At 48.0% G+C, this 21,510-nt stretch overlaps 1 protein-coding gene across 23 annotated transcripts in view, besides 12 other annotated features; it reads right to left on the bottom strand.

Annotated features, from left to right (window-relative positions):
- RBPMS (RNA binding protein, mRNA processing factor) overlaps positions 1-21,510 on the bottom strand; it is a 187,716-nt gene that overhangs the window by 14,788 nt on the left and 151,418 nt on the right. For 6 of the 23 annotated variants that reach the window (XM_017012981.3, XM_047421276.1, XM_017012982.2 and 3 more), the window contains 2 exons: positions 12,845-12,975; positions 675-811 (listed from right to left, as the gene is read on the bottom strand). The exons of 4 other annotated variants lie outside the window; for them this stretch is intronic. In XM_017012981.3, the coding sequence (XP_016868470.1) occupies positions 675-811; positions 12,845-12,975 (268 nt within the window). Of the gene's footprint in view, positions 1-674; positions 1,586-7,883; positions 7,970-9,949; positions 11,809-11,840; positions 12,976-21,510 lie in introns of those variants that run through there. 13 more of the 23 variants (NM_001008712.3, NM_001438566.1, XM_024447055.2 and 10 more) reach the window with 8 other exon arrangements.
- Positions 999-1,058: a silencer, noted in NCBI's record as "silent region_19077". NCBI's record gives its function as "represses an Ori minimal core promoter by ATAC-STARR-seq in GM12878 lymphoblastoid cells {active_cell/tissue: GM12878}" and the evidence as "EXISTENCE:reporter gene assay evidence [ECO:0000049][PMID:35858748]".
- Positions 6,483-6,777: an enhancer, noted in NCBI's record as "tiled region #2547; HepG2 Activating DNase matched - State 5:Enh, and K562 Activating non-DNase unmatched - State 7:EnhWF". NCBI's record gives its function as "activates a minimal TATA promoter and a strong SV40 promoter by Sharpr-MPRA in HepG2 and K562 cells {active_cell/tissue: HepG2 | K562}" and the evidence as "EXISTENCE:reporter gene assay evidence [ECO:0000049][PMID:27701403]".
- Positions 7,602-8,261: an enhancer, noted in NCBI's record as "H3K27ac-H3K4me1 hESC enhancer chr8:30406725-30407384 (GRCh37/hg19 assembly coordinates)". NCBI's record gives its function as "activates a minimal SCP1, AML or CMV promoter by ChIP-STARR-seq in primed H9 embryonic stem cells {active_cell/tissue: H9 hESC(primed)}" and the evidence as "EXISTENCE:reporter gene assay evidence [ECO:0000049][PMID:30033119]".
- Positions 8,925-8,984: an enhancer, noted in NCBI's record as "active region_27212". NCBI's record gives its function as "activates an Ori minimal core promoter by ATAC-STARR-seq in GM12878 lymphoblastoid cells {active_cell/tissue: GM12878}" and the evidence as "EXISTENCE:reporter gene assay evidence [ECO:0000049][PMID:35858748]".
- Positions 13,256-13,863: an enhancer, noted in NCBI's record as "H3K27ac-H3K4me1 hESC enhancer chr8:30401123-30401730 (GRCh37/hg19 assembly coordinates)". NCBI's record gives its function as "activates a minimal SCP1, AML or CMV promoter by ChIP-STARR-seq in primed H9 embryonic stem cells {active_cell/tissue: H9 hESC(primed)}" and the evidence as "EXISTENCE:reporter gene assay evidence [ECO:0000049][PMID:30033119]".
- Positions 13,864-14,471: an enhancer, noted in NCBI's record as "H3K27ac-H3K4me1 hESC enhancer chr8:30400515-30401122 (GRCh37/hg19 assembly coordinates)". NCBI's record gives its function as "activates a minimal SCP1, AML or CMV promoter by ChIP-STARR-seq in primed H9 embryonic stem cells {active_cell/tissue: H9 hESC(primed)}" and the evidence as "EXISTENCE:reporter gene assay evidence [ECO:0000049][PMID:30033119]".
- Positions 15,080-15,689: an enhancer, noted in NCBI's record as "OCT4-NANOG-H3K27ac hESC enhancer chr8:30399297-30399906 (GRCh37/hg19 assembly coordinates)". NCBI's record gives its function as "activates a minimal SCP1, AML or CMV promoter by ChIP-STARR-seq in primed H9 embryonic stem cells {active_cell/tissue: H9 hESC(primed)}" and the evidence as "EXISTENCE:reporter gene assay evidence [ECO:0000049][PMID:30033119]".
- Positions 15,690-16,297: an enhancer, noted in NCBI's record as "OCT4-NANOG-H3K27ac hESC enhancer chr8:30398689-30399296 (GRCh37/hg19 assembly coordinates)". NCBI's record gives its function as "activates a minimal SCP1, AML or CMV promoter by ChIP-STARR-seq in naive and primed H9 embryonic stem cells {active_cell/tissue: H9 hESC(naive and primed)}" and the evidence as "EXISTENCE:reporter gene assay evidence [ECO:0000049][PMID:30033119]".
- Positions 16,298-16,906: an enhancer, noted in NCBI's record as "NANOG-H3K27ac-H3K4me1 hESC enhancer chr8:30398080-30398688 (GRCh37/hg19 assembly coordinates)". NCBI's record gives its function as "activates a minimal SCP1, AML or CMV promoter by ChIP-STARR-seq in primed H9 embryonic stem cells {active_cell/tissue: H9 hESC(primed)}" and the evidence as "EXISTENCE:reporter gene assay evidence [ECO:0000049][PMID:30033119]".
- Positions 16,907-17,515: an enhancer, noted in NCBI's record as "NANOG-H3K27ac-H3K4me1 hESC enhancer chr8:30397471-30398079 (GRCh37/hg19 assembly coordinates)". NCBI's record gives its function as "activates a minimal SCP1, AML or CMV promoter by ChIP-STARR-seq in naive H9 embryonic stem cells {active_cell/tissue: H9 hESC(naive)}" and the evidence as "EXISTENCE:reporter gene assay evidence [ECO:0000049][PMID:30033119]".
- Positions 17,516-18,124: an enhancer, noted in NCBI's record as "NANOG-H3K27ac-H3K4me1 hESC enhancer chr8:30396862-30397470 (GRCh37/hg19 assembly coordinates)". NCBI's record gives its function as "activates a minimal SCP1, AML or CMV promoter by ChIP-STARR-seq in naive H9 embryonic stem cells {active_cell/tissue: H9 hESC(naive)}" and the evidence as "EXISTENCE:reporter gene assay evidence [ECO:0000049][PMID:30033119]".
- Positions 18,132-18,843: an enhancer, noted in NCBI's record as "H3K27ac-H3K4me1 hESC enhancer chr8:30396143-30396854 (GRCh37/hg19 assembly coordinates)". NCBI's record gives its function as "activates a minimal SCP1, AML or CMV promoter by ChIP-STARR-seq in naive H9 embryonic stem cells {active_cell/tissue: H9 hESC(naive)}" and the evidence as "EXISTENCE:reporter gene assay evidence [ECO:0000049][PMID:30033119]".

Genomic DNA, 21,510 nt, shown 5'->3' with positions numbered 1-21,510 from the left:
TCTGGGGATTCTCAATGACCTTGGTCACAGAGCCCAGTGGGGTCAGAATCCAGGATGAGGCCCCACGAGATCCCCTAACTTGATTCTAAAAGCAGGGATGTCTAGAAATTGGGTCCTAGAGAAATCCGACACAGCACCCCGACCTTGTCCCTGGTCCGAGCACAAGGCGGCCTGGGAACCTCCTCCTCCCCATGGGCCTCCTCACGAGCGGTTCTTTCCTCGCTGGCCTGAGTCAGGAAACGCAGGCTTAGGACATACCGGAGCTTCTGCCTGCACCACGACTCCGTCAGGCTGCCTGTGCATTGGGTCTCTTCTGGCGACCATGCCAGATATGACCAGCGATCAGATGACCAGCTAGAGCAGGGTCCCCAGTATCAGGGAAAGGCAAAGTTGCTGTCCTCAGGGCCACCAGCAGGTACCAAAGCTCATTTAAGGCAGGGCTGGGGTCACTCCCAACACTCATTGCAATTACAGGGACAAGGGTCAGAAACTTTTCCCAGGCAGGAAGGCTAGAAAACACTCCTCTGGGAAATTAGAAGTGTGTTCAGAACAAAAGAAGGAGGGCAAGAGTGGGGAAGATGGGGGTGAGGTAGGGGCGGGCAGGGAAGGGGACAGAAGAGTCTAGGGGAGGAGAGGGAGGGCAGAGGTGGGGAGAAGAAAGAACTCATACCTACCCACGGCTCATGGCCTGGTGCATCTGAATCCACTTGCTCACTAAGCAAAGAGCAGAGTTGGAGCTGCCTTCCTGAGACAGGTGGGAAAGGACGGGGCGGGGACACAGAGCCCCCATGGCAGGTGGGGGGCTGGACACCTAAACACACAGTAGAGGGTGATGGGTCTGTGTGCACTGGGTCAGTGTGGAGCGCAGTGGTGTGACTGGTGCGGCCTGGGTGTGGGTTGGGGCGCTGAGCCCCGACGAGGCCAAGACGTGACGGTGTTTCACAGGAGACACAGGAGGGGGAGGGCTGCCCGGGGAGGAGAGCTGCACAGTGGATGGCATGGTTCTGCTTTCGGTGCAGGTGACTGCGAGAAGGAAGCCCTGCCCCAGCCTCTCTGACCAGCTCTCGCACACAGCCCTCACGTTCTCACTCGCACAGGTGCCTGCAGGGTTGGGGACGAGCGTGCAGCCCGTCTTCAGGCTCTCGTCAGCCTGGTCGAGGCGCACTCCAGAGTGACATGAAGGCGGGTTCCGAGCTGTGGGGTCCAGGGGAGGCTGTGCTCAGCTGAGGAGTGAGGACGCCAGTGATGCAATAGGTGGCTGCTCCTCAGAGTGGATGTGGTGGCGGGTGGCGGACACACAGACCCCTGAATTCATTGCTCTTGTGTCTCAGGCTAGGACACTATGTGCTTGCCAAGTGGGGGGCTCTTCTCACCGCATCCACAGACACCCACGGCTGCCTCCTCTTCCAGCCTGAGAGGCTCCGCTGCGCCCAGCTTCCAGCAGAGGGCAGTGCCCCCCTGGCCAAGTCTGAGCGGCTCATCCAGGTTCCCGCACCACAGCCGGCAGAGCGGCAGGGCTCATGGTGCACAGCAGAGTTCGGGCAGCCGGCCCGGTGGGGGGGAACAAGCTGCTCCGCGCTAATCACTGTGTGGGGGTAATGAGGAGAGGGTTCTCTCTTAGCCCCATTCGGGCTGCTTGTTCTGCTGGGCTTTTGGCCCCAGGTCACTCCTGCCCATCCCATAAGGGCTGCTTTACAATTCTTCTTAACGGGGAAACCTACAGTTCCCTCCAGACTGCCTGCGTCAAGGTCCTCTCCAAACAGTTCAGCAGGCTAGTTTAGGGCTCCCCATTAGAATAATGTGACAAGGGCTGGCCTTCCATGCAAGGCAGCGGCCCCTCACATTTCTTCATGCCATGTGCAGAAAACGTATGTGTACACAAACACACACCCTCTCTCTCTTCTCCCATAGTTCTCTCTCTCAAATGTGCACACTCACAGTCTTGCACACAATTCCAGGGGCTTCTCAAGACCCTGTGAGAAACTTTAACACAATATACTTAACCAAACTGACCCTGACATTTAGTCTGCGTCAGAGACCGCGCTAAGCACTTCACACAGCCTGTGACATCTAAGGCAACGTGGACGACCCTGGGAATCTTCTCCACTAGAACTTAACAATAGTGGTAAGTTATTACCATGTTACAGTTCACTACCCAGGGCCACACTGTTTGGGATTCTACCATCCCTCTTCTTCAGGAATGCTCTGAAAATGCAGTGCCCCTGCATGGCTAACACTGTAAGTCTCCAGCACTCAGCATGGTGACAGATTGGACAACAGGAGAGCACCAAGATACCCAGAAAAAGAAGCAACTCAGAGTAAAAATCAAATGGAATGCTAGAGAAAGCGGTACCCACCCATAAAAATAATTTCCATCCTCTTCCATTTATAGATGAAAAATGAAGGCCCAGAGGATTAAATACAGACAGAATTTATGTTCCTAATACTGATGCCAAGGACAGGAAGACCTTGACTAGTCTCGGGAGGACGCCCTGCCTGAAGTACCAACCCTTCTGCAGTGGTGAGTGACTGGCACAGGGTAAAACTCTACAGTAATGATTTGCATTGCGCTATCCCCTTTCTAGGGGCTGAATCCCACTATCATACTTGCCCTTAGAAAGAGTCACGAAAAGTGCTTAGCAGGTGACTGGCTCAATTAATAGTCACTACTGAAAGCAAATACTCTCTGGTTGGACTGTTTTCTTCTCTGGGGAATGAAGGGGTAAGCCTAGACCAGTGGTTCTCAGGTTCCTGGACCAACGGCATCACCTGGGAACTTGTCAGAAATGCCAAAACTCTGGGAGAGGCATCCAATAAACGACACTGTAACCAGCCCCCCAGGTGATCACCAGGCACATGGTCAAGTCTGAGAGATGCTGCTTTTAATTAAGGTTTCGAAAAGTATGGCTGGAAGAACACTGGTCTAGAAATGCTCTAATGTCAAGGACATTAGAGAGAAATGCACAATTTGGTCCCTTCAGCAGTTTCTTGATATGTGTGGGCACAGTAATGGCTCCAAGAAGTTCCAAAATAAAGAAACCTGTTTGACTTGATCTAGACCTGTGCTGCCCAAGTTTATCTGACTGCAGGATCTCTGGATTATGGAACAGCTGTGAATCCCTGTGGGTGTTGAGAAATGCTGGTCTGGAAGGTCCCTTCCAGTGGTAGCATTTGGTGGATCTAAGAGGCTGGGCTGTGCCATTTGCATGCTTCGAGCTGGAAGACAGACCACCAAACCGGCTAGTGCTCTGATGTCTCATGTACATGGAGCAGCTACAGATTTTCTCTCACCTTCCCTAGTGCAGATGCTGTACCTGAATGCAGGTTTCCCCTGCACCACATTCAGAAGTCAGCTATCCCTCTTTGAACAAAATAGTTAATAACAGTAGCTTGGGCAGGGCGCCGTGGCTCATGCCTGTAATCCCAGCACTTCGGGAGGCTGAGGCGGGTGGATCATGAGGTCAAGAGATAGAGACCATCCTGGCTATTATGGTGAAACCCCATCTCTACTAAAAATACAAAAAATTAGCTGGGTGTGGTGGTGTGCGCCTGTAGTCCCAGCTACTCAGGAGGCTGAGGCAGGAGGATTGCGTGAACCTGGGAGGTGGAGGTTGCAGTGAGCTGAGATGGCGCCACTGCATGCCAGCCTGGTGACAGAGGGAGACTTCCTCAACAAAAGACAAAACAAAACAAAACCCACAGTAGCTTGAACAAGTTGTTTTATGTAAATGACAAGAATGTTATCTCAAACTAATGGGTTAATGTTTTGAAGGCATGGATATTCTCAGGCAGGTTTCCATGACTCTCCCTAGAATGGAGCGCTGAAGTTCGCTGTGGGGCTCGTTCCCAACACTGAGCAACTGCAGGGAACCACTCACACAGTGACTACCTACCATCAGCTCTGCCCTACTCGCTCCAGACCTCAGGATCCACTTTTGGGTGGCATCACCAAATAAAGCACGTTAGGCCATTACAGCAAGCTCTGTCAGAGACTGCCAGGCTGAAGAGAGGCTGCCAAGCCCAGCATAATCTGGTCCAAGAAACTCCAAACTCATCGAATAGGCTGGAGGGATGATGTGCAATACAAAAAGATTGTCTTCCTTACAGCGCTGATTGCAAGATTCTTTTAAACAGCAACCCTCACCTCCATTTCTAAAAAAGCACTCACCAAAACTGGAAGAACACTTTTTGGGAATTTCGCTGCTGCATGAAATGAGGCCCTCTTGTAAAGGAACCACTCCTCTTCTCCCTGCCCCCCAGAATCGGCAGCCTATACTCTTTCTCAGCAGACTCAGGCATGAAAACGCCATCAGCATTCTTCACTACCTGTCTGGCACCTAATAGTCCTTGCCTAGGGCAATTAAGTCGCTATGATCTAGGCAGAATGTCAAGATTTGTATGACTTGGTCCTTGGTTAAGGCTGCCATCTCACCTGCCCCAACAGCTGGAAAAGAGGTGAGCAAGAAAGTCCTAGCTGGAGGAGGCCATGCTCCCCGCTGGCCTTGTGCTCTTGCCGGATCTTCCAGTCACGATGGCAGGTGCTACTGAGGTCCGAGCCCAGGCAGGGACAAGGTCTAGACCACAAGGACAAGGTCCTAGGACTGTGAGTACATCCTGGTAAGCCTGATCAAAGCTGGGTTTAATGAAACAAAAGCCTCCAGGGAGAATTTTCTCTCCTGGGCTCTTAGACTCTTTTCCTGTCTGTCCTAAGCACAAGCTAAGCCCTGCTTCCAAACAGGCATGTGAAATGTGCCCAGACATCTCAGAAGTTCACTTGAGATGCCACTTGGGTTAAAAGCACCCAAGCATGTAACACCCTGTGTCAGATTAAGTCCACAGTGGTTGCTTGTCATCCATATTTAATTCTGTCAGTCTGTTAATTTTTAACTATGTTTGCTATCAAGGGCCATTAGAGGTCCCCAGGAGCTGAGCTCAGTGAAGCGCATAGAACTTCGTGGCAGAACGCACAAAGCTTGAAGTTGGGGTGTCCCACTTTCCCATCCTGTCGCTGGGTCTGGCCTTCCCCACCGGCAGCACAAATCCTGAATAAAACATGATTCCATTTGGAGTTGATTTTCCTTTACCCCTACTGTCACAATTGGTTTTCTTCACAGAAAAGTTCACTCTCCCCTTTTATGAAGGCTACATTTTATAATTCCAAAGTTTCTCTGTGGCCTTGGTTTTGTTTCCAAAGCAGTTAGAGTTCACATACTTTCCGGACGGCATCTGGGTGCCTATGCCTACAGAAGAAAAAAACCTTGGGTACACACCCAGCTGACCCAACCAGACGGCCTCCTCTCGGTATACGCCACAGCCACGGACCATTCTCACCCTGGCTCTGGTGTTTCTCTTCTTTACCAAAGCAAAAAGCCCAGGCCCTTAGGTTTCTCTTATCAGGGTGCTGGTCAGGAGTCCCTGTGTCCTAAGTGCTTCTCAAGCTTACAGGGAGGGCTCAGGAGCCTCTGGGCCACACCAGATCGAATCCTGACAAAGGGAAGGCATTGGAAGAACTATTTTAATCATAACTATGACTTTAAGCCAAACATCTTACTGTTTTCTGCAAAATAAACCCATGGAGATGTTCATTCTTCCCATTTATAGATGAGGAAACTGAGGCTCCGTGCAGTTAAAAACCAACTTGCCTAGGATCCCAAATTTAGCAGAGTGGGTAGAAACTGTCATTAAAATCAGGTTTGTTTGATTTAAAAAACTGAGTCCCAGTTAGGTGCCAGGCGCTCAGCAGCACCCGACTGTGACAGTTGGGCCACGCGGTTGTTAATCCCAGGGAAGAGCCGAGCGCAGACGGCACTTCCAGGTGCGACTTGTTGGGACTCAGGGTTGGGCTCTTACTACTATTAAGGACAGGGGAGAAGGCGCGTAGGATCTGGGGAGTTTAACCTTCCGCAAAGGACAACATGGAACACACTTAGAAACCTGGAAAACAGTGTACCAAATGGAGAGTAATGGAGTAATGGAGAGTAATGGTGCCCCCAGTCAGGAGGAGGCCCACGTTGAGATGTTCTGGCAATCCTGAATAATACTGTGATTTCTACGGAAGTCTCCTTGGGGTGAGTGACCCTGGCCAAAGCCACACAGCCATACACTAGGGGACCGACTCTGGTTTCTGAACGGCATTTCCTCCTAAAACTGCCCAACATGGAGAGGCCTGGGCCTCAGTAGCAGCAGCAGTTCTGGACAAAAGAACACGTCTCCCTAACACCCTGGACGGATGGTTTTGGAGGACTGCTTCTAAAGAGGGTGAAGGACAAAATGCTGATGTCTCTCTCACTGCAAATGACGGAAGAGGTGGAGAGGGTCACCAGGGAGAGAGCATCTGCCTGGCCGGGGGCAGATTCTCGGGTTTCCTGGCAGAACTGTGAAGAGAGCAATATCCCCAAGTACAAGCTGTAACTCCATTGCCTGGAAATGAGGCTGAGGAGAATACTAGCAGAAGGACTGTGGGAAGAAAGTGCCAGAAAGTCCAGGGAGGAATGGGCTGGGTGACCTGTGATTCTTTCTCCAGTTTCTCCGATAGGAAAGTGAGATAAGGCTGCAGCTGGAAAGGTCAGGGACAGCGGGTTTGTGTAAAGTAACTCGTGAGGGCAAGGGCCATTCCGTCGCTGGGATTCAGCTGCCCAGCCCCCTCCACCCCGGATGTATTTCCTGTCAGAAGGGGGTTCCGGTGGCCGTGTCCAGCCTGGTTTGGGGAGGCCCCTCTTTTGGATAAGCTCTCCCAGTGCTGGCGTAAGCTGTGAAGATCACACTGCCAGGAGCAGGGCAGGTGCTGTCAATCGGTGCTGTGGGTGGTGCTCTCACTGCAATGCCTCATCTTACTCCCGTCATTCATTCATGCTTTCCAGTCTTCCATTTGGCTCCAGCCGTGAGGTCTCTAGCAGCCCCTGTTAGTGTCATCCACATGTGCTGGCCATCCTGTGTCTTAACTGTCACGGCCTTGTGGGTAGCTTAGGCTTAGTCCTGGGCTTCCTTCTCCTTACTGAAAATTCAAGTGCCCCTTAAAAGATCCTTGGGAAGGGCTACCTTTAAAGCAAACATGAAGCCCTTCTAATATGCCGGGCATTCTCTTAAGTGTTTATGTGAAGGATTATTGGCCCTTTTCCTGAAGCCCAGAGAGGTTAAGAAACTTGCTCAATTGAGGTCGCACAGCGTGTAAATGGCAGAGCTCCTGTGTGGCCAGGGAGTTCCAGAGCCTGTCTTTTCCACCCTACATTTCTTGCCATGAGCTTAGAAAGGAAATGAAGCCCCGCAGAGCTCTCCTGAAAGGCGCAGCTCAGAGCACAGGCCCTGCATCAGGAGGCAGGCATAGAAATCGCCCCCAGGCGCTTGTAATCCCAGCACTTTGGGAGGCCAAGGCGGGCAGATCATAAGGTCATGAGATCGAGACCATCCTGGCTAACACAGTGAAACCCCGTCTCTACTAAAAATACAAAAAATGAGCCAGGCGTGGTGACAGGCGCCTGTAGTCCCAGCTACTTGGGAGGCTGAGGCAGGAGAATGGCATGAACCCGGGAGGCGGAGCTTGCAGTGAGCCGAGATCACACCACTGCACTCCAGCCTGGGCGACAGAGCGAGACTCTGCCTCAGAAAAAAAAAAGAAGAAAGAAAAGAAAGAAAAGAAAGAAAAGAGAGAGAGAGAGAGAGAGAGGAGAGAGGGGAGAGAGAGAGAGAGAGAGAGAGAAGAAAAGAAAAGAAAAGAAAAGGAAAGAAAGAAAGAAAGAAAGAAATCGCCTCCAGGAAGGGCCTGGGAAAGGAAAGGAGACCCAGCCCACTCTCACAGGAGGCTGGCGCTGTGAGCATGAGGCCTGGCCTCCCCGTCCGCCCCTCCTCCTGTGAGAGCTAAGCCAGGTGCTCCTAGAAAGCCTCACCAAACAGGAAACCAGGCCAGGCTGGCACTATCAGGAGACGGAGCGCTCAAGGGGTGGCTTCTCCTCACAGTCTGACCTTCACAGAGCTGCAGGTTGAGAGGAAAAGGTAAATGTCAGAGGATTAACAATTTCATTTATGTCTGAAAACAATGGAAGGCCTTGGGCAGAACAGCCCCAAAGGCAAGCTCTGCAGTCCTTCAAAGCTGTCGTTTTCCGGATAGCCACAGCCACAGCTCTGGAGCAGACAGTATATACCTTAGGAATCCCAGGCCTCAAGGACAAGGCAGTCTGGGGTCAGGGGTCAAGTGCTAAAGTGACCTGAGATTCACAGAAGCAAGCAATGGGAATCTCCGGACTCCTGCCTTACTTTTGGGAGGCAGGACTGCCAGGTGAGGGGTTGAAGCCATGTCCCTGGGGCCCCAGACATGACTCTGTTCACAGGTTTCCCTGTGGGACCAACCACCCTCACAGCACTGGCCACCGTACAGGAGGTGGAAGCCAAAACCATCAGAGTCCTTGCCTTGTGAGCCTCCCATGCGCCTGGAGGGGATCCACAGCTGTCTCGCTGCTGGGCGACTCCTAAGGAGCTGTGTGCGCACTGAGGTCCATACCCAGCACTGCCCTCGAGACACCCCCCAACACTCTATGTATTCAAAACATACCCGACACCAAAGCAGAAGTCCTTGTGTCTTTTTTCTCAGTTATTTCCTACAGGGCATAGTGATGCAGATGCTTAATACGATTTGCTTTTTTTTAAATCTAGTTTTCAGAAGTCCCACCCTGCTGATGAGCAACTGCTCAGATACAGGGGAGGTGGGGACAGCCCTGCAGTTCAGGTAGTCCACCCACTACTCCCAGGCCCATCTACTCCTCTGTGAGCTCCCTTCCTGGTTAGCCTATGTCTCTCTTCCCATGGTCCACTTCTGTATTTATTTTGGGTTTAACCTTTAAAATTTTTCCAGTGTGTCACAGAGCCATCCCAAGGGACACGCATGCCTTGTCCTCAGGCAGTCTGTTATAATTTTAAAACCTTTGGTTTATGTCCAGGTAAGCTGTACAGCAGCCCTATTAGAAATCCGATAGAACTGCTGTTACTCTGGACAAATGAGGCCTCTGAAAAGGAATTAGGTAACCAGGACTTTCTCTCTCAGTCCTACTTACCTACAGAAGCTTCTGGCCCCACACTGTGACTCTGCCTGAAGTACAGGGTGTATGGTGTGTTTCGAGAATGTGGTAAGGACAGTATACTTTAACGACTTTCTCTCTGCCCATCACAACAAGACTGAAAGCAGAACATGAGCTCAAACCTAAGAGGCGGAAGTGTGTGAATGTGAGGTGACAGAACAGCTGTGTGCTCTCTTCAGTGTATAAGCTTTTTGAAAGCAACAGATGAAAGTTTCCTCTCCTAATTAACACATTTCAAATACCAATGACCTTGAAAGTAAACTGGATGATCACTTTTAAAAATGTTAATGATCTTCTTAGCAATCCGATGTCTGCTGCACAGGGTCGCTCTTTGATCTCTAAACATTAAGTCAGTACTGAGGCTTTCAGTCCTATTACCTTATCCAATAATTTCTAAAAAACGGGATCTGATGGCAAATAAGTATCCTTACTTTAGAGCTGGGAAATCTGAAGGGGTACCAGACCACAGCTGAAGCCGGGGCAGAGCTAGAAATGTGACTCAACTTCTTTTCAATGACACTTTGTCTCCTGGTCTTCCTTCCTGTGGATCCCGGTGGGCAGACTGCACACTGCACCCACACGTTTCACAGGGGCTCCCCTAGCTAGACGCAGCATCCCTGCTGAAGTGAGGTCTCCTGGTGGATGAGACGCTTCCAACATGCAGCTCTTGGTGGCTCTTCTGGGAGCCCAGGGAGAGACAAGCAGCAGCAGTGTGGCCTCGGCTCCAGGACCTGGCCTCTCCAGGAAGCTCGTTCTGAGTCCTTCTATGTAAAATAGACTTGGTGTCACAGGCCCAATTCTCCCAAAACCTCAGTCAGAGAGTAACACCTTTGCTCCAAAATTGCATCACCATGAAAACAAAACGCTGCAGTCTACTTGAGTTCATTTTTGCTCTGATTAAAATTTTTATTGAAATCTCTCAAAGGTCGTCAAGAAATAGTTTTTGTGAAAGGGGGGAAAATAGCTAACAAACAAATTCAACATGGGAGCTCCCTCTGCTGGTCTGCAGTAGGTTGGTATGTTACAAACACATTCCCAGAGACAAATCTAATTTGCTGGAGAAGTGGACAAAAGACAGGTGTGTTGGGCTTTGCCTCAGGAGAGAAACACTAGAAGAAAAAAAAAATCCATGTCTCAAAATAGAGCATAACATTGCTAAGAAAAACAAAATTATTTAAAGCCTCTCCAAAGACATTATAAGATTTCCAAAACAAAGACTGAATTCTCCAATATGGGGAGATGCCCCGTAGAGGCTCCAGTCTGCTCTGCCTCCAGTTACTAAAGATTCTCTTGGGCCCTTTGGGTGAGGGTTAAGTGCTGATTCCCTTTGCTTTGCCTCCAAGTCTCTTCTTACAGGCTTCCCATCTACTTAGAGAAGAAAGATCCAAAGAGTCACTGGAGTGAGGCCTTTCCAAAATTCCATTAAAGAATAAGTCTGTGGTGAGCCAGCACCTCGGAGTGGAAAGAGCCAGGCCTGGGAGGCAGGTGACCTGGGTCTAGTCATGGTAGAGCCCCTTCAGATTGTGGGTAACTCCCTCCATCTTCTCAGGCCTGTTTCCTCATCTGTAAAATGGGTCAGACCAGCTGATCTGTAAAGCCTCTACTAGTTCATTCTGATTCTCATACTGGACAAATACATTTAAATAACCGTATTTGTTCATAGAGTCCATGACTGCACTGGGAATGACTCCAAACAAGAAGTGGCGTTGAAAACTGATACCAGAGGAGAGTCCCACCAAATCTGGGACCGATGTGGCAGAGCTAAGTGGATTCCAGTTTGGGAAAGTCTCAAGATCAAGGAAGAACTCCCAGGGGAGGGTGCCACCATGGGCAGTGCATCCCATTAAGTCAAATGGCTGAGTCCATTTAATCTTGGCACTGTCTCTCCCCATCCTTCCTTACAATGGCATATGCTTTCTAATCTCTTGAGACTCTTTAGGCCCTTCTCTTACCATACCGTATCTCCAGAATTACTTCTGATTTGACCCATTACATGAATGAAGAATGAGCAGATGTCATGGCCAAAAGCCACTATTCCCAGTACTTTCTGGCTGTTGTCAACTCTTGATTATCCAGGGTAAGGGTGAAAGGCTTTGTTGCTGACTAACCAAAGCCATGGCTATTCAGAAGACTATGCAAACCACTGTTTCATGGTATTTATTAACATTTGCCTTAATTGCCACGTGATCTGTACCCGGCAGTCTAGCAAGAGGAGACACCATCCAGAGCAGGGGTGGGAGGTGGCAAGCAAAAGGGGCTCTTAGTTGCCCCATGTCATCCACATATTTATCCGCAGCCTGCTACAAAGATCCTAATGACTCAGCAGAAGACACCCACAGGTTTACATTTTATCCCGACCCCGTTACCTGCCAGTTGTGAGGGTTCCCAAGCACTGACATGGAAAAAGGAAGAAAAAGCAGCAGGGGAAGGAGAAGCCAAAGGCACAGGTAATCCTGGCTCCTTTATTTTCTGTGCCATGTACTCTCAACCACCAACACCACCTACATTTTTTTCTTCACTACTTGTACTACTTTCTCCCTTCTTCTCCCAACATAGAGGGCAATCATTACTGGGGCTCAGGCACCAAGGGCAGGCCAGGAAGCCGGGTCATCAATGCACGCACAACGTGTTGGTAACTCAGAATTAAAAGATGTTCAGCCAACAACAATCTCGACCCCATGACTTTCAAGAACCCTCGCTGGGGGCTGCTTCTAGGTGGTCTTTATCAAGACAGGGAATTCTGTACAACATAAAAGAGTTTTAAGTCAGAAGGAGGTTTTCTGGGAAGCTGTTTATTTCACCCAGCCTTGTAAACAAACACTGAGCAAAACAGGCAAACGAAAACTCTGCCTGTCCAGCCTAATAATTTTTAAAAATTTAAAATTTAAAGGCTGAATTACACATGCAGAAAGACAAATGAAACCTACGTACGTACTTTCTATTTGTTACTGGTCATCAATCTTTGCAGGCCAAAGAATGAGTGGTGATCTCCAGAGGTGAATCTTTACACTGATTACTACCACTTGCACTAAAAGCGAAGCTAAGAGAAATATTTTCTCCAAGGGGAGAGGAAGTGTTAGTATGTAGACAGTAATCTTTGCGGAGAAACAGGAAGTTTGTTTATAAAAATCAGGCTATTTTTAACTAAGAAAGAAAGCTGGTCAGAATAGAGATCTCTACCTTGACCTGTAATTCCATCTTAGACACTATCTTGTATCTCCTTTTCTACAGGGTTTCCTGAAAATGGAGAGAAGGAACCCTTAATCTTTCCTGTAACATATTTAAGAAAGTACAGCCTTCCCCCCTGGAAGCTTTCCCTTTGGTCAGAGATTCTTCTCACCGTACACGAGAGTGGAAAACTCTCAACACACAGAAACACGCACAGACGCACATATCCCCTTCTCCTAGCACACACCTTCCTCTGCAGCCCTTCCACACAAGGCACACACGTATACACTCTGGTGATGCCCTCTAGCTAGCTGGGAGCCAGGTGGATAAACCTGCCCCGGTCTCTCATGTGCGATATGAGGTGAGATCATTAAGGAAGAGAGAGGTGTCATTTGGGGCAAACATCAGGCAGTGGGTGATATCATTGCTGTCAGACGATCCTCGTCAGTCCTGAAGGAGTGTCAGCTTGATTTAGAGGGGATCATTAATCTCTTGAGGGTGGATCTGTTAGCTGGATAGGTGTTAGTTGTATGGTGTGCTCTCGGGAACCAAGTTTGAAAGGACTGGTGGTGAAGTGAGTGAAGTCCTGGCCGATGGGTATCAATTACCTGGGCATGCAGTGAAGCGGGATAGGTGAAAGCAGGAGGAGGTAGAGCAGGCGCTAACTCCGCTGGGTACAGAGGGTACGGGGCCCACACTTCAGGGCTACTGGGGTAAAGTGCAGGCACTGTGAGCTCATCTGCAAGAAAAGAATAAGGCGAGAGTTAGTGGTTACCATACAGCTAGTTTCAAATCAGAAAACAAAACACCCAACAACCCCGAGCCCCAATCACTGTCGGAAGTCAAATTACTCTCATTCTTTTAACAACCTGTTGTTTGTTGGCTTTGGTCCCACAAATGCTAAGTAAGGGAACGAAAAATATAACACAAGAAAAGCAACAAGCATCTGCTGCCTGTCTGGCCTGCTGAGATCTCAGGCCTGGACTCCGCCTTGAACACTCTGATGTCTTTCCGACTGTAGCTGGGGAACCCAAAACAGTGGGAATTTCCTGCACAAAACAGGAAATGCGACCCTCTGAGGAAAAGGGAGAGAAAGAACCAATGAAAGACATCCCATGAGAACCCACTGCAGAGCCTTTGGGAAAACCATGGCTTAACGGCAGGGCCTCAACAGACCAGAACTGGAAGACTTTTCTGTTTATTGGCATAATTACTATTGACAAGTCAGTAATGATCATCAAGCATTTTCCACGTAGCCCTCAGAAGTACAGGGCCAAATACTGTGACCACAGGGCATTTAAGATCTTAAAAATTCAGAGAATTGAAGTGAAAAACCTTGAGAATCCTGATTAAAATTACACTCCACAAAGATGTAAACAGGAACATTTCCAGTTGCTCTTTACAGACTAACTTTTAGGGGAAAAAAGTGAGTCATATTGCCAAGTGCCTGGTCTAAGTGTTCCTCAGGCAGCTCCAATTCCACCCAGGTCAGGCTGCAGTTGGCCAGATTGAAGGGCAAGTGCCTGGGCCTCCCATGTATCAGGAAGCAATCCATTAAAAGTAACAGCAAACACATGAGGGAGCTTCTCAGGAAAGGCAAAAATAACATCAGTCAATAGCAAGGAATCTGGGCCCTGTGAAGCAGCAATCTCAATATGTGCTTTTATCACCTGTCAAAATCTGAAATCAAGTGTGCCAAGGACGCTATCCAGGACTAACACGGGAGTCAGCAAAAGGTGATTTGATAGAAGTCATTAGTAACTCTGCCATTCAGTACTTTCCCTGAGTCTACAGTGCAAGGTCAACAGAGTCACTTTATTCCTTCCTACCATCTAAGGAGCCATTCCAGGCCCAGTGTCTCTGCATCCTTCCCATCCCCCGAAACTCTTCAATACAGAAAGGGGGCTAGCAACAGAAAACTGCTTTGCTCGGTGTGATGTGGGACTGCTCTATGGCGAAACCAGAAAGTAGCAGAACCTGTGTGAGGCTTCCCCACAGCCAGCTTGCATGGCACGAGCTTCTCTCAGGATGGTAGGGAGTCAGGAGCTGACTGCTGATGATACGTTCAGAGGGCAGTTTGTACCCATTTTCAGATATGATGGGACCCCAACAATGTGGTTTAACATACTGTTGCTGGTTGGCCTTCCTGACTCCCTTCTCCTCTCAACAAGGCAGTAAAAACTACCTCCTCAGGACTTGGTGATAGAAAGACAGACTGCCTGTGCATCTAGGTGGGAGAAATAAGCCCCTAAGAGTGGACTGATCATTATTAGTCAGGGTGAAAGCAACAACACCAGAGTCCTTAAAATGATCAGGTCCACAGCATCTACTGTGTTCTAGGGTGTGTAGGTGCCTGTAGCCCAAGGCTTAGGGACCACCCTCAGAGGGGCTGGGAGGGGCTTAATAGATCCCTGTGCTTCCTGTTGTGATGAGACCATGTGATTTCCAGAGTAACTCACGTGGGAGCCCAGCTAGTGGAAACTAACTGCTACCAGAACCAATGCCTTGAATTTTAAACAAACAACCATTCTCAGGAATGCCAAACTATTATTGTTGTTTAGCGACCAGGCTATTTTAAGACATTCTGAGTCTTTTAAATCCTCAGTACACTGTGGCCCATGCTTGTCTGTTCCCACTGTGATAGCAGAAGACCATAAAACTGATACATACAACTGATTCCAAATGGCAGAGCCCTCAGGGGGAACGTGTTTGGCCTGCAGCCTGTCAGTGGTCCTTCCTTATCTTCCTGGCTAACTGGGGTGGGGTGGGTAGAGGTGGTTACCTGATCAGTAGGTCCTTCCTTTAGAAACTTTTAAAAATGAAATGAGTATGTCCTTTAAGATATCTGATCCTAAAGAGATAAGCAACAGAGATAAGCTGGAATCAGATTTCAGTGTCAGCCTGACTGCTGGAATTTATGTTTCCCAGACTTTTCTCTGTTTTTATCCTGAAGCATTACTTCCCATTAGTTCTTTACTGATGCTTAGAGACAATTCACCATTGATATTTGCACAAAACCCAGCCCAGCAGAAAAGAGGATTTGGTCTGAAATCCCCTAAACTCAAAATTGCTGAGTAGTAGTAACGTATTAGTGAGGCAGAAGCCTAAAAGAGATAAAGGTGAACTTACACTTGATAAATCCCTTGATACATCTTATCATCTCCGTCTCCCTTCTCCCATCATGAAGGAATGTGGAATTACCATAAACATCAAAAGATACGTGGTCTGACCAGGTCAGGATCGCACCTGAAGCAGTCCTCACCAACACCTAACTTTCCAGTATGAGCCTGAGCACTCTCCTAACACACACATACACTCCTTTGACGGAAATGGGTATTAAAGCAGAATAAGCTTTTTGCGTTTGTTTGCTTTTTCGTTGCTTGAGAAAATTACAAAAGCTAGAGAGACTGGTTTTCCACAGCACAAGCCCTTCACAAGGACTCCCCACTGAAGGAGCAGGCAAGGCCCTGATGGGTTTCACCTTCCTGAGTCACTGCCCATCCTGCTCAAACTTTACAGGATGGAAGGCTGAAAAAAGAAGACAAAGATTGCTGCCCAAGGCCCACTGGGATGAATTGGAGTTTAGGGAGGGGGTGAGATTCCTCTTGACAAAAGAGGCTCTTGACCACCCAGAGTGAGCCAGGCCCCAGTAAGCAGAAAGAGGGCAGATCAAGAGGCCAGGGCTTTTTTGTCTGGGCCTAATCCATCCCTCCTGAGAGGCAGGGCAAATCCTTTCCCATTGCACCAATCTGGCTACATCTTTTCTTTTTTGCACCTTCTGAGGATAATGTTGTTGAGGGCTCACAATATACATCTGAATAGGCTTTTTTTCTTAGCATGAGAATATGCAACCAGAAGAGCTCAAATTGGATTCTGAAAAACAAGGACTGGAAACTTCCAACTCCACCCTGTAATCCCTTTGAAACGAAAGAACTGCAGAGCGTCTGATGAAGGTTTAAGCCTACAGAGCTTGGGAAGATCATCTTCTGCCTTTTCGTTTTAGATGAGGAAACAGATGCAGAAAGGTGAAGCTTACAGTCTACGGTCACATTGAAAGAGAGATAAACATGAATGACTCTTAGAAACAACTGAGAGATGGAAGAACAAGGAGAATCTTTAATGGACTTAAGTATGGCCATGTATCTCTGAGTTTAGTTGGTAACACAAGGTTTAAGAACTTTTTTGCCTCCTGAAAACATCTATTTGGAAATATTCCATAGCAACTTCATGCTCGACATACTCAAAACTAAACATGCTCCCTCAATGACCTGTCCTCGTTGGCTCCAGATTTCAGCAAGATGCTACCTTCCACTCAGCTGCCCAAGCCACAGACCTGGTGGTCACCCCATCCTCCCTCTCATTCATTCTTTCATCAAGGTCCTGGTGAATCTATCCCATGATCCAGTTTGATCTTCACCAACACTACTGGATTACTGAAAAGGCCTCCTAAAAGCCCTCCCGGCTTCCACACTCAAGTCAAGACAACTTTAAAAATACACAGTTTGGCTGCGTGCAGTGGCTCACACCTGTGATCCCAGTGCTCTGGGAGGCAGAAGCAGGAGGAAGAAGATCGCTTGGACCCAGGATTTGAGACAAGCTTGGGCAACATAGCGAGACCCCGTATCTTAAAAAAATATATATTAGCCAGGCCTGGCGGTGCATGCCTTTAGTTCCAACTACTCGGGAGGCTAAGGTGGGAGGTTCACTCGAACCTAGGACTTATTTGAGGTTGCAGTGCGCTCTGACTGTGCCACTACACTTCTAGCCAGGGCAACAGAGTAAGACCCTGTCTCTTAATTCAGTCATGTCACTCCCGCTTAAAACCCTTCTATGACTTCCTCTTGCTCTGTGGATACTGCCCAAACTCCATGTAATGGCCTATAAGACCCCAAATGATCTGGCCCTCATCCTCCTCTCCAGCCCTGATTCTCATCTGGTTCTCCCTCATGGTCTGGGATCAGTCACTTCCATTGCATGACTATGCCTGCCTCTCGCCCACACACTGCTCCCTCTGCCAGAGGCACCCTTCTCCCCCTCCTCTTGCCTGGCTTAACTCTTACTCATCAGTTACTTACTCCTTCCACCCAGCTTAACTCCTCAGTGTGCTCTGCTTAGATGCCTCTTCTGGGGGCAGGGAGGGGCCTGGTCTCGCACTGCTAGTCTAGAAGACTGCTTTCTCTGTGCTCCACCACATCCTGCACCTCCCCAGTCACAGCAGTTACCTCCTGGACGGCAAGCTCACTCTTATTCTTGCTCACCAGTGTCTACCACCATATTATAAGACAATATCAAGAAATCAACCATTTGGGCCAGATGCAGTGGTTTACGCCTGTAATCCCAGCACTTTGGGAGGCGGAGGTGGGTGGATCACTTGAGGTCTGGAGTTCGAGACCAGCTTGGCCAACATGGGAAAACTCCATCTCTACTAAAAATAAAAAACTGAGCTGAGTGTGGTGGTGCACGCCTATAATCCCAGCTAATTGGGAGGCTGAGGCACAAGAATTGCTTGAACCTGGGAGGTGCAGATTGCAGTGAGCCAAGATCACACCACTGCACTCCAGCCTGGGCGACAGAGCGAGACTCTGTCTCAAAAAAAAAAGAAAAGATTTTTTAAAAAAAAGATTAAAAAAAAAAATCAACCATTTGCTTTATACTTGAGAAAATGAATGACGAAAAAATATACTTCCATCCTGCCTTCAGGTGAAGAAATAGCCAGACTGAGGATTAATTCTGGGTGGGAGAGAAATAAGCACATAAAGGCACCAAGATCTATCTAAGGTCTCACAGATAACTTATAATGTCTGAACTAAGACCAGAACTCATGCCTCTTGTCTCATAGTTTGGGGTCCCTTCTATACACCATCCTTTCCTCCCTGGGGTGGGTGATGCCCCCACTGCTGCTGGTGATGACAAGTCCCCTGGAAAGCAGGTGGTCTTTATGTCTGGCTTTTAGCATACTCAACTTGCTATAAGAAACTCAGGGACAGAGTCTTCCAGGAGAGCTTGCCTCGTAGATGAAGAATTTGGCCAGGAAAAACAGCAGCCATGACACAGAAAATCCAAACATGATGAAAAATTCCATTTTTAATAGGAATAATATAAATTTTGAAACAAGAAAAATAAATCAAGGATTCTGTTAGCAATCAACTCCCACTCACATACCTCAGCAAGTAGCTGATCCATGCCTGTTAAGCCCTTCAAAAATCAGCCATACAGGCCCACTCTTTTAAGGACTAGCCTATTCAGACATGCTCTTCCGCCATCAGGACTAAGAATGTAGCCCACGCCAGCTCCCGTGGTGCAGGGCAGTGCACACTAGCTCCTGTGATAGGGTGAATGGCATTTCCCCAAATCAAAATCCACCTGCAACCCCAGTACATAACTGTTTTTGGAAACAGGGTCTTTGCAGATTGATTTAGGAATCTTGAGACAAAGGCAGGGACTGGAATGGTATCTCTACAAGCAGAGGAATGCCTCAGAGCCTCCAGAGGATCCAACACTGCTGACACCGTGATTTCAGATTTCTGTCCATTGAAGCCACTCAGTTTCTGGTAATCTGTTGTGGCAGCCCTAGGGAACTAATACAGTTCCCATAGAATGTCAAACCCATTCACTGGCTTCCCAAGAAGACAAATGTAGATGAAGATGTTTATGAAAGAAGCTAATGAAAAGATTGTTGCCGGGCGCGGTGCCTCATGCCTGTAATCCCAGCACTTTGGGAGGCCGAAGCGGGTGGATTACTTGAGGTCAGGAGTTCAAGATCAGCCTGGCCCACATGGTGAGAACCCCGTCTCTACTAAAGATACAAAAATTAGCCAGGTGTAATGGTGGGCACCTGTAGTCCCAGCTACTTGGGAGGCTGAGGCAGGAGAACTGCTTGAACCTGGGAGGCAGAGGCTGCAGTGTGCCAAGATCGCACCACTGCACTCCAGCCTGGGCGACAGAGCGAGACTCTGTCTCCAAAAAAAAAAAGATTGGGTGAATAGCTCAAAGGAGGTGTTTTCCACCACCCAGCACTAATTACCATGGCGGTTTTTGTGTTCTGTACAGGGAACCAACTGTACTACGTGCTGCAGTCATGAGGAGAAATCAAGTCTCGGCTTGGCTCTCCACTATTTCTATTTTCTCTCTATCATGGACCTTGGTCATTTCCATTGCTTCAACTACTAATTCTATTTAGGATGACTCATAAACCTATAGCATTGATTTCTACTCCAATGTAAACACCCTAAACTCATCAAACTCAACTCATGGAGAAGTGAACTTACTGTCACTCATAAACCAATTCCTCTTCTTACCTCCAATACTTTCCTTTATCCCTTTTACTCAGGCTAGAAGCCTCCATCACTTCCCATGTCCAAACAATTGCTAAGTCCTAGTAACAATAAAGATGACAAAGATAACTACAGTGATGATAGCAGTAGTAACAACAGTAGGAGCTCGTGTTTACTGACCACATTCTGTGCACCAATCATCCTCATGGGAGACATTAGCAGGAGCCCCTTTTACCTTATGAGAAAGCTGAGACACAGCGAGGTTAAATATCCAGCCCAACGACTCTCACAGAGCCAGGATGTGAATCAATCAAGATCATGAGTCCAGACCCTTCACTTCTGCACTTCACTGCCTCTCTCCATGTTCATTAGCTCCACCTACTGATGATAAAGACATATTCTCTATGTAAAGACATATTCTCTATGTCTTTCTCATTCCCATCCCTACTTCTATTACCCAAATGCGGGTTCTCAGCCAGACTGACTTTAACTTCCACCGTCTCCCCACTCCACTATTTCTCTGATACAAACTGCAGAAGCAACAAGTTTTCTGCAAAAAAGCAAGCAGACCCCAAAATAAATATGCCAAGGAAATTCCAAAAGCAAGCTGGTCATGATTCAACTGGCCCAGAGTCACTTTTCCATTTAATGATTTTCTGCTGTTCTGACCAGTCACTGCTTTGATGGTTGTCTTCTTCCTTTGCTGCCCACTTCTTCGAGGCTAAGAAATCATGCGATGCAATCCAGGATTTTAAAAGGATCTGCTTTCTAATCAGAGTTGAAGGGAACCCTGAGCATGAGTGGGAAGAAAACTGTTCCTCTGGGAACTTAAGCCACTACTATTACCTACTCTTACTCATCACATGGGGACATTTTCATTCCTCCTCCTTCCTATGACCTGCAGCTGCTGGGATGAGGGTTACCCAGAGTTTCCCCAGGAAAGTCTATTCCCTGGCATTAGCAGAATATTCCAAGTGTCTGCCAGCCTCTCTGCGAGCCTGGATTTTGACAACTGCAATCAAGTCTGGATGTTTAACAGGAGCTGTATTTTCAAAACGTAATGGTTTTACATCTATGAACAACATAAGAAAATCTGCTCAGTCCCACTCTGCTAGAGACCTGGGTAAGCTTCATGAGAGCAGCATACTGTTCTGTTAGATTCACTACTGTGCCCGCCACAAAGGAGGTCCACAAAGGAGAAAGAGTAGAAAAGGAAGGAAAATAAATTTCTTCTAACATAAAAAAAGTGTTTCAGGAAGTATATCTTCAGGGCAACTTGAATCTATGATTCAGGTGGAAATTAATTTTTTAAAAATAAAAAATTTATAAACAAACAAAAACAGTGTTTTAGTATAACTTTCATTTGTCACTCACACACCTCTTCTGGCATACATCTGTTATTTGGTGAGGGAGGAAAGGGAGCAAGGGAGAAGGATGGTTATGACAGCAAGGGGAGGCAGAGGTGTCTTTTCAATGAAATTGAAATTGCTGCTTGGGTACATCTCTATCTAGTCCATAAAAAGAGATGATCTCGCCAGGCGCGGTGGCTCACGCTTATAGTCCCAGCACTTTGGGAGGCCGAGGCGGGCGGATCACCTGAGGTCGGGAGTTCGAGACCAGCCTGGCCAACATGGAGAAACCCCGTCTCCACTAAAACTACAAAATTAGCTGGGCGTGGTGGCACATGCCTATAATCCTAGCTACTAGGGAGGCTGAGGCAGGAGAATGGCTTGAACCTGGGAGGCGGAGGTTGCGGTGAGCCGAGATCGTGCCATTGCACTCCAGCCTGGGCAACAAGAGTGAAACTCCATCTCAAAAAAAAAAAAAAAAGAGAGAGATGATCTCTTATTGAACTATAAGGTCCCTGAGTGCAGGGCCTGTGTCTGTTGTGCTTACTGCTGTATCTCCAGTACCTAGCATAGCGCATGTTACATAGCAGACATTCATTCATTCATTATTTATTGATTTATTTTAGAGACAAGGTCTCACTATGTTGCCCA

The sequence above is a fragment of the Homo sapiens genome, chromosome 8 (assembly GCF_000001405.40).
Source record: "Homo sapiens chromosome 8, GRCh38.p14 Primary Assembly".
Taxonomy (NCBI): Eukaryota; Metazoa; Chordata; class Mammalia; order Primates; family Hominidae; genus Homo; species Homo sapiens.
Note: the sequence above shows the minus strand (reverse complement) of the source record. Positions and strands in the feature narration are given on the sequence as shown.